At 39.3% G+C, this 11,147-nt stretch overlaps 1 annotated feature.

Annotated features, from left to right (window-relative positions):
- Window positions 9,294-10,059: an enhancer, noted in NCBI's record as "H3K27ac hESC enhancer chrX:109911493-109912258 (GRCh37/hg19 assembly coordinates)". NCBI's record gives its function as "activates a minimal SCP1, AML or CMV promoter by ChIP-STARR-seq in naive H9 embryonic stem cells {active_cell/tissue: H9 hESC(naive)}" and the evidence as "EXISTENCE:reporter gene assay evidence [ECO:0000049][PMID:30033119]".

An 11,147-nucleotide genomic window follows, 5' to 3' on the forward strand; every position in this document is an offset into this window, starting at 1 on the left:
ATCAACTAATGGGCAAAACAGCCGGCAAACATCATAATGACAGGATCAAATTCAAACATAACAATATTAACCTTAAATGTAAATGGGCTAAATGCCCCAATTAAAAGACACAGACTGGCAAACTGGATAATGAGTCAAGACCCATTGGTGTGCTGTATTCAGGAGACCTATCTCACATGCAAAGATGCACATAGGCTCAAAATAAAGGGATGGAGGAATATTCACCAAGCAAATGGAAAGAAAAAACTCAGGGGTTGCAATCCTGGTCTCTGATAAAACAGACTTTAAACCAACAAAGATCAAAAGAGACAAAGAAGGCCATTACATAATGGTAAAGAGATCAATTAAACAAGAAGAGCTAACTATCCTAAATATATATGCACCCAATACAGGAGCACCCAGATTCATAAAGCAAGTCCTTAGAGTCCTACAAAGAGACTTAGACTCCCACACAATAATAATGGGAGACTTTAACACTCCACTGTGAATATTAGACAGATCAATGAGACAGATGGTTGACAAGGATATCCAGGAATTGATCTCAGCTCTGCACCAAGTAGACCTAACAGACATCTACAGAACTCTCCACACCAAATCAACAGAATATACATTCTTCTCAGCACCACATTGCACTTATTCTAAAATTGACCACGTAATTTGTAGTAAAACACTCCTCAGCAAATGTAAAAGAACAGAAATTACAACAAACTGTCTCTCAGACCACAGTACAATCAAATTAGAACTCAGGATTAAGAAACACACTCAAAACTGCACAACTACATGGAAACTGAACAACCTGCTCCTGAATGACTACTGGGTAAATAACAAAATGAAGGCAGAATTAAAGATGTTCTTTGAAACCAATGAGAACAAAGACACAATGCACCAGAATCTCTGGGACACATTTAAAGCAGTGTGTAGAGGGAAATTTATAGCACTAAATGCCCACAAGAGAAAGCAGGAAAGATCTAAAATCAACTCCCTAACATCCAAACTAAAAGAATTAGAGAAGCAAGAGCAAACAAATTCAAAAGTGAGCAGAAGGCAAGAAATAACTAAGATCAGAGCAGAACTGAAGGAAATAAGAGACGCAAAAAACCCTTCAAAAAATCAATGAATCCAGGAGCTGGTTTTTTGAAAAGATCAAAAAAATTGATAGACCACTAGCTAGACTAATAAAGAAGAAAGCAGAGAAGAATCAAATAGACGCAATAAAAAATGATAAAGGGGATCTCACCACCAAACCCACAGAAATGCAAACTATCATCAGCGAATACTATGAACACCTCTATGCAAATAAACTAGAAAATCTAGAAGAAATTGATAAATTTCTGGACAAATACACCCTCCCAAGACTAAACCAGGAAGAAGTTGAATCCCTGAATAGACCAATAACAGGCTCTGAAATTGAGGCAATAAGTAATAGCCTACCAACAACAATAGTCCAGGACCAGATGGATTCACAGCCGAATTCTACCAGAGGTACGAAGAGGAGCTGGTACTATTCCTTCTGAAAATATTTCAATCAATACAAAAAGAGGGAATCCTCCCTAACTCATTTTATGAGGCTAGAACCATCCTGATACCAAAGCCTGGTAGAGACACAACAAAAAAAGAGAATTTTAGGCCAATATCCTTGATGAACTTTGATGCGAAAATCCTCAATAAAATACTGGCAAACTGAATCCAGTAGCACATCAAAAAGCTTATCCAACATGATCAAGTCAGCTCCATCCCTGGGATGAAAGGCTGGTTCAACACACACAAATCAGTAAACGTAATCCATCACATAAACAGAGCCAATGACAAAACCCACATGATTATCTCAATAGATGCAGAAAAGGCCTTTGACAAAATTCAACAGGCTTTCATGCTAAAAACTCTCAATAAACTAGGTATTGATGGAACGTAGCTCAAAATAATAAGAGCTATTTATGACAAACCCTCAGCCAATATCATACTGAATGGGCAAAAACTGGAAGCATTCTCTTTGAAAACTGGCATAAGACAAGGATGCCCTCTCTCACCACTCCTATTCAACATAGTGTTGGGAGTTCTGGCTGGGGCAATCAGGCAGGAGAAAGAAATAAAGGGTATTCAATTAGGAAATGAGGAAGTCAAACTGTCTCTGTTTGCAGATGACATAATTGTATATTTAGAAAACTTCATCATCTCAGCCCAAAATCTCCTTAAACTGATAAGCAACTTCAGCAAAGTCTCAGGATACAAAATCAATGTGCAAAAATCACAAGCATTCCTATACACCAATACCAGACAAACAGAGAACAAAATCATGAGTGAACTCCCATTCACAATTACTACAAAGAGAATAAAATACCTAGGAATCCAACTAACAGGGGATATGAAGGACCTCTTCAAGGAGAACTACAAACCACTGCTCAAGGAAATAAAAGAGGACATAAATAAATGGTAGAACATTCCATGCTCTTGGATAGGAAGAATCTATATGTTGAAAATGGCCATACTGCCCAAGGTAAATTATTGATTCAATGCTATCCCCATCAATCTACCCCTGACTTTCTTCACAGAATTGGATAAAACTGCTTTAAAGTTCATATAGAACCAAAAAAGAGCCTGCAAAGCCAAGACAATCCTAAGCAAAAAGGACAAAGCTGGAGGCATCATGCTACCTGACTTCAACGTATACTACAAGGCTACAGTAACCAAAACAGAATGGTACTAGTATCAAAACAGATATATAGACCAGTGGAATAGAACAGAGGCCTCAGAAATACCACCACACATCTACAACCATCTGATCTTTGACAAACCTGACAAAAACAGGAAATGGGAAAATGATTCCCTATTTAATAAATGGTGCTGGGAAAACTGGCTAGCCATATGTAGAAAGCTGAAACTGGATCCCTTCCTTACATCATATACAAAAACTAACTCAAGATGGATTAAAGACTTAAATGTAAGACCCAACACTATAAAAACCCTAGAAGAAAACCTAGGCAACACCATTCAGGACATAGGCATGGGCAAAGACTTCATGACTAAAACACCAAAAACAACATCAACAAAAGCCAAAATAGACAAATGAGATCTAATTAAACTAAAGGGCTTCTGCACAGTTAAAGAAACTACCATCAGAGTGAACAGGTAACCTACAGAACGGGAGAAAATCTTTGCAATCTACCCGTCTGACAAAGGGCTAATATCCAGAATCTACAAAGAACTTAAACAAATTTACAAGAAAAAAATAAACAACCCCATCAAAAAGTGGGTGAAGGATATGAACAGACACTTCTCAAAAGAAGACATTTATGCAGCCAACAAACATATGAAAAAAACCCTCATCATCACTGGTCGTCTGAGAAATGCAAATCAAAACCACAATGAAATACCATCTCATGCCAGTTAGAATGGCAATCATTAAAAAGTCAGGAAACAACAGATGCTGGAAAGGATGTGGAGAAATAGGAACACTTTTACACTGTTGGTGGGAGTGTAAATTAGTTCAACCATTGTGGAAGACAGTGTGGTGATTCCTCAAGGATCTAGAACTAGAAATACCATTTGACCCAGCAATCCCATTACTGAGTATATACCCAAAGGATTATAAATCATGCTACTATAAAGACACATGCACACATATGTTTATTGTGGCACTATTCACAATAGCAAAGACTTGGAACCAACCCAAATGTCCATCAATGATAGACTGGATTAAGAAAATGTGGCACATATACACCATGGAATACTATGCAGCCATAAAAAGGATGAGTTCATGTCCTTTGCAGGGACATGGATGAAGCTGGAAACTATCATTCGAAGCAAACTATCACAAGGACAGAAAACCAAACACCACATGTTCTCACTCATAGGTGGGAGTTGAACAACGAGAACACATGGACACAGGGCAGGAATCATCACACACCAGGGCCTGTCAGGTGGTGGGGGGCTGGGGGAGGGATGGCATTAGGAGAAATGCCTAATGTAAATGATGAGTTGATGGGTGCAGCAAACCAACATGGCACATGTATACCTATGTAACAAACCTGCATGTTGTGCACATGTACCCTAGGACTTAAAGTATAATAAAATAAATAAATAAATAAAATATAAAAATAAAAAAAAATACAGAAAACCAAAACAGCACTATCAACCACTTGACCTAACTTTCATTTGTAAAAAACTTCACCCAACAACAGGAGAATATGCATTCTTTCCAAGTGTATATGGAACACATATACCCAAGAGAGGGCATATTGTGGGACCTGCATATGTACCCCTGAATCTAAAATGAAAACTATATAGATATAGATAAAGTAGCAAAAAAGAAGACATTTAAAGGAATAGAAATCATTCAATGATATTCATAGAATAAATTAAAATTCAATAACAAAGATATCTAGAAAATATTCAAATATTCAGAGATGAAAGAAAACACTTCTATATAAAGCAATGTCAGGAGGCAGGAGCAAGCAATGTGATAAAACACATTGATTTAAAATATGAAGCTCACAGAGATGCATTGACATACCCAAAGTCACACAGCAAGGACAGGGAACCAGGCTGACTGATTTCAGTGTTGGTGTTTTAACCCCTCCACTCTCCTTTACTATCTGATGTTTTTCATCATCATCATCTCCTCTCAGAATATACAAAGGCAGATAGACAATATCAGTAAGAGTCAACCTTCTGCGGAGCTGAGGATAGCCTAAATTCACAGGCCCTGGATATTGGAGGTACAAGGTGCTCAGATATGGGGAACTTAATATTGGCAAGTGTGTTGAACTAAGTGCTCCTGATGATACTCATTTTGTTTTTAAAATAACACTTTTATTGAGCATAATTCATATGTCATACAATTTACCCCTTCAAAGTGTTCAATTAAGCGGGTTTTTGTATATTCACAGAGTTGTGTGGGTTTTCTCCATTAGCCCTGTTTGGGGAAATTGATTCTTTTGTATTTGTGATGGTAGCCAAACTTTAATGAATGGCCTATTGTTTGGCAATCTCTACTTCCAAAAGTTAAACCCTGAATGTTCCACCAGCTTCATTGGTCTCTGTGGAAGTTATTCACATGAGCACTTAGGGTGGCTCCCTGAAACAGGAACATTACTTTATTTTTATTTTGTTAGCTATTAACTAGCCCTGCCCAGACCTCCTACAGAAAATACATCTGTGAGGTACTGGGGAGAGGCTCTATCCTACCCTCCTGACATTAAAGTATCTTCAGTATGAAGCTTTAAAAGAGATTTAAAGTTTCTGCTTCAATCATTTTTGTTCTCGTTCAGACAGTGGTTCTTAATCTGGGGCCACAACACTCTGGGGAGCCAAGGAGTTATGTGAGAAACCTGCAAATCAGCTTGTGAACGAGGCTTTTATTTTGATTAAATATATCTTACACACGTTTGCTACTATTTCTCAATCATACATGGGTACTGTTGTGATTAATAAAGGAAAAAAATCTTCTGCATATGTAACTTTTTTATTATATAGTAACCTTTTTCATTATATATTTTCTCAATCAGCAGACACTAGGAGTGCAACTACTGTCATGGGATAATCAGATAGTTTTGATTGATAAAATAAGTTATATGGACCCAAAATGTTTAGGAACCACTAAATTAAACAAAGACCTTTCTTCATAGGGTACAAATGTTTCATTTAGTAGGGCATCAACGTATTAGCAGTCATTAACACATTAGCCTGAATTAATCAGCTTGCTTCAGGGTAGGGCATTGAACACTTTCATCCTAAAAGCAGAGTGGGGATCAGCAATGGCTCCAAGCAGGTCTAGTGGGTTAGAATTAGTCTTTTGGGTGCCATGTGTGCTTCAGGAATTCGACAGTTTTTATACTTATAATAGTAGTCAAACTTTGATAGATGAATTATTGCTTGGTTAGTACCACTCCAAAGAGCCAAACCCCAAATGTTCTCCAACTTCTACCAATGTTGGAAAACACTCCAAGGGAAAAAAGAGGGCGCTGAGCACCAGAGATGGGAGCTAAAAGGTAGGAGGGGACAGCAAAATATGTGGCCAAGACCAAATTTGTCTACTTCTTAGTTTGTTGGGAGGACAAGGAGATAGTCATATCTACCCCAAAACTTTAGCAGACTACAATCTTGAAAAGACGTTTAGAATTCCTTTACTTTTGAGGTCCTCCCTTCCTTTTGCTCTGTCCCAGAACCTCCTTCGCCTATACTTGCTGACAAACTTTCCCCTCTCATCCAACACAGAGTCCCATTTTGTATCCAAAGCCATTCAATCAGCTCGAATTGTCTGTGTTTTTCTGGAGGGGTTCCCTCTCCAAACTTGCCAGAATGTCTCAATATTCTTGGAGCTTGTCCTCAGTTTCCGAAACTTCAGGGCATCCCATAGGCCACAGTTTTGACTTCAAATGCAAACTGACCTTTTCCTTTCACCCAAACACCCTCCTCCTTACCCACTGCATTGCATCAGAGCATTCTCAAGCCTGTTGTCTTGCTCCAGACATCCCCTTGTCTGTGGCTTGGGGTTAATATCTGGTCCTTTCCAATCCTACCCCATGTGATTATGCCTTTGTTTCAGATCCAGGAGAGTAATCATACTCAGACTAGGTCTCCACTAACCAAAGCAAAAGGGACATTTGAGAAAACAATCAGTTAGTCCTTGCAGAAGGGGTTTTTGGTTGCCTGACAACCAGATAGTTGCCTAAATTCTCCCCTCTGCCTGACATGAGTTCAGGGCCATAAGTGGCTACTTTCCCCTGCACAAACACGGCAAGTGTACAATAATGACTTCAGCTGTTTGAGAAGAGGCCATATCCCAAGAGGTACTCCAGAGAGCTGATTTTCTTAGAATTGCAGAGCAAAGGGCTCCGGAAAACTGGGCTGAATACTACTAGTGTTTGCCTTTCTCCAACTTCTGTGTGACTGCCATCTAGTGGCATGCAGGGTGGTGGTGGGGGGTGGTGGAGAGTGCTCCAACAGGGTTCAGTCAATAAGCAGGTGCATTGTTTATGAATAATTTAAAAACAATATTAAAACTGACTAAAGTTGGTCAGACTTTTATTATAACCACATGCTGGCAATTCTAAACAGTCATTGATAAAATACTTCTCACTTTGGTATACCACTGCCCCCACCCCAGCACCTAAGTGATTCCCTCATCTCCCCTTGGAGAGCCATATTTAAGCCTGACTTTTCAGGTAATACTTCAGATTTATATCCCTTCCCTCTATCAAAATGTTCCTGTCTTGTGCTCTAACCCCCTAAGGCTGTGCTTTTTATTTTCCTTGGTGGAATTTATTTATAGGGAAATATTTATAGGGGTTACCAGCTGTCTCTACCAGGGGCACCTATGTTATAACAGAAGTTACCTGAAGAATCAACGCTTTAGTCCAATGGTGTTCTAACTCTTTTAAGGCAGTGAAACACTGTTTTCAAACAAAATATGGTATGGAACCCCATCTCCTAACTCTTCTTTAAGTCTCACCTTCAGTGTCATTTCCTCTGGAAGGTCTTCCTTGTCTCTCCATGATGAGGACAAGTCCCCATGACTTAGTCACAGCACCTTGGACTCGCCCTTTCATACTACCCATCACACGTGTTATAACTTGTCTAGTGTCTGTATTCCTTAGTAGACTGTAACCTCCATGTGGGCAGATACTGCATCTATCTTGTTCACCATTGGAACCCCAGAAGCAAGTGTTGTGCTTGGCCCACTGTATGTGGTCCGTAAATAGCTGATGAATGAATGAAAGCCCTTCTGTTATTATAGCCTATGAGTAAATGAACATTGGAAATAACCATGTCACGTGTTATATTGTGGGTTTTTATTGAAATTATGGTCAAAAACAACCCCAAGATCATTTTTTTTTTTTGGAAAAAAAGTGTGGTTAACCAGTTTTCCCACCTTGTAGTCATGTGAGTAAAACTAAATGCAACAGCCACAACTCCCAATTTCTAGTGTGTAGATTTTTCCTCCTCTCTTTGGCACTAAAGTCAGGTTCTTCTTCTTACTAAGTTTTGGCTGAAGCTCTGCAGGGACAGTCTCCTCTTCTGTTTTATACCAGGACCCCCCAAAAGGCTTCTCCTAGTTGGCCATCTCAGGTTGGCACTTCCTTCAAAGACGTGCTTAAGTTCCACTGTCTGATTGAAGTTAACCCAGCCTGAGACTGCTTTCCTTTTTCTTTTAACTACTAGAGATCATGAACAAAGTGTTCACCTAGTTTTTTAAATTTATTTTTATTTATTATTATTTTTTTAGAGACAGCGTCTTGTTCCGTCCTTCAGGCTGGAGTGCAGTGGGCATGATCACTGCAGCCTTGAACTTCTGGGCTCAAGTGATCCTCCTGCCTCAGCCTCCAAGTAGCTGGGACTACAGACATGTGCCACCATACACAGCTAATTTATTTTTAACTTTTTTAGAGATGGGGTTTTGCTATGTTGCCCAGGCTGGTCTCTAAGTGATTTTCCTGCCTTGGCCTCCCAAATTGCTGGGATTACAAGCATAAGCTATCACACCTGGTCTAATTTTTTTAAAAGGCATTTACTGTGCATTTATACATCAGTCACTCTCATGAACACTTTATTAACTCATTTAAGCCTGACAAGAAACCTATGGGATAGAGATTATTCTTATCCTTATTTTACAGATGAGGGAACGAAGATTAAGAGATGTAGGAAACAAGAAATACGAATTGTTTGCGTGTATTAACTCTGTCTTCTCCTGATTCCCTGATTGGAGTGAACCTCTCAATAGTTTTGACCCCAAAGTTATTTTGTTATTAATTTTGGTGATAAGTTGAACAGAGGTAAACAGGTTTATTGAAGGACTGAAAAGGGCCAATGCCCTTCTGCAGCGTTTCCTTCCCCTCCCCCACTTACCTCTTGAGGAAGAGGGCTCCCTATGCGGATGCATTCCAGAGCTTCAGAATTCCTCTCTGAGCTGCTCCCTCCTATGGCAACGCCCACGTGAATGCCAGAGGACAATGGCACAGACAGTTTTCAGGAACACGTGTAGACCATCAGCCCCTTCCTCCTCACCAGGGCCTCTGGCTGCCATGCAAGCTGCTACATCTCACAATAAACCCAAACCCCTGGCATTTTAGAGAAGTAGCAGGTTCAGAAGTGAAAGAAAGAGAAAGTCGGAAGAGCAGGAATAACATTAGCACTCTTTGTAAGGGGAGAAGGCCTGGATTACATTACAGATGCTTAGGAAGGACAGGTATGGCCTATTTAGTTGGTGCTGCCTACTTCTATCATCACCCAAAATCTCATCCCTCTCATTCCCAAAACTCCCTTCTATTGCTTCCACTGCCAGAAGGTTTTCACTCACTTTAGCCCTCTGCCTTTATTTTTGTAATTGGGGAATGCATTTTGAGGGTAATAAAGAATAATAAAGTATTTAAAAGTGAAAAGGTATCTGAGGGTTAAGCAATTATCATTTATTTCACTTAAGTTGCTTCCTTCCTAATGCCAGACAGCTGCCCTGGAGGGATTTAGGTTTTGATTGTTGTGTGAGGTGGTTAATGGCGGAGCCTGAGGTTCTTTGTGGAACAAGGCAGGTGGGATAGCTGGATCTGAAGGGAGGAATGAGGGCACTGAGAATCCAGAGAGTGCATGATGACATGGAGAGAGGAAGCTGTCAAGTACAAACTTTGTCTTCTTTGAGGTTTTGCCTAGGACCTGTGCCTTGCCTCCCTCCCATCCATCCCATCCAGAAAAGTGAGAGGAAACTCCCTGCTCACTCCTCTCCTCACCACCTGCCCCTGCCCCCAGGATGGAGCTTAAGCGGGTACTAATTAGTACTATATATAACTTGGCTACATTCAGGGTTCAAGAGACTTGTGTGGACTGGCCTGGGAATCTGAGGATCAAATAGAATGATATTTCAATAAGAAAATGCATACTGAATTCTAAACTTTTGGCCAATATGTTATTCTTACATTGGGGACTGCTTATACTGGGAGGCAATTTAGAATTCCTTCTGTCTACATTAACTTGAAGTCAGGCATTGGGTCTCTTGTGTGGGCCATTTTGTGAAGGCTCCATACACACCACGTTGGAGCGTAAGTATTCATACACACAGAGAGAAAGATATAAAGATATATAAGTATTGTTTTATATATATATATATTTATATATATATTTATATATATATATATATATATATATATATATATATATATGAAACAGGAGCTTGCTCTGTCACCCAGGTTGGAGTGCAGTGGCATGATCGGCATGATCATAGATAACTGCAGCCTTGAACTCCTGGGTTCAAGTGATCCTTCTGCTTCAGTCTTCTGAGTAGCTGGGACTATAGGCATGTGCACCATGCTCAGCTATTTTTTAAATTTTTGGTAGAGATGGGTGTCCCACTATGTTTCCCTTACAGGCATAAGCTAACATGTCCAGCCTGTAATATATATTATAGCTATTATAAATATTATATATTATAGATAGCATATGTAGAAATATAGATATTACTTATCCACAATATTGAAGTCTTAGCAAAAATCCTTCACAGCTTAGTATTACTGTGAAGCCTATGCCACACATGCAAGGACATTTTGCTTTAAGCATTTAGAAAAATCGATGTATAAATCTAATATTTATCATTTATTTTGAAAGACATCTTATGGCAAATCAGTTTACAAAGCAAATAAGACCTTTTTTTCATTTGTACTTATTAACACAGGTTTTATTAGTTTTCTTTGGAGTAGGGTACAGAGAAAATGTCCTGAAAATCTGCCTAGCCTCTGCATATTTATGTATTCCCTGAACTGCTTGCTCTCCCAAATGGAGAAAGAATCTCACCAGATGGACTCTTCACTTGGCAAATATTTACTGAATGTCTGGACGTGCTGGACATTGGGTCCCTAACTTCTCAGAGCCTTCCAATCTAATCATGGAGACCATGACTGAGCAAACATTTCATGTTTTTACATATAATGGCATGTAAAAGGTGAATGCCTTCAATGTTCTCAAGTCTAAAATAGGGTCAATAATGATACTTCCCACACAGGGCTATGGTGAGGATTAAATGAAAAAACATGAATGTCAATTGATTACTATAGTGGTTGGCACAGGAAAAATACTTTGGTGATTATTTCCTGGAAGCATGGGGTAGGGAAGAACTAACTAACCTGCCTGAAGGAGGTGGACAAGTTTTCAGAGCTGAGCAATAT

The sequence above is a fragment of the Homo sapiens genome, chromosome X, assembly GCF_000001405.40.
Source record: "Homo sapiens chromosome X, GRCh38.p14 Primary Assembly".
Classification (NCBI taxonomy): domain Eukaryota; kingdom Metazoa; phylum Chordata; class Mammalia; order Primates; family Hominidae; genus Homo; species Homo sapiens.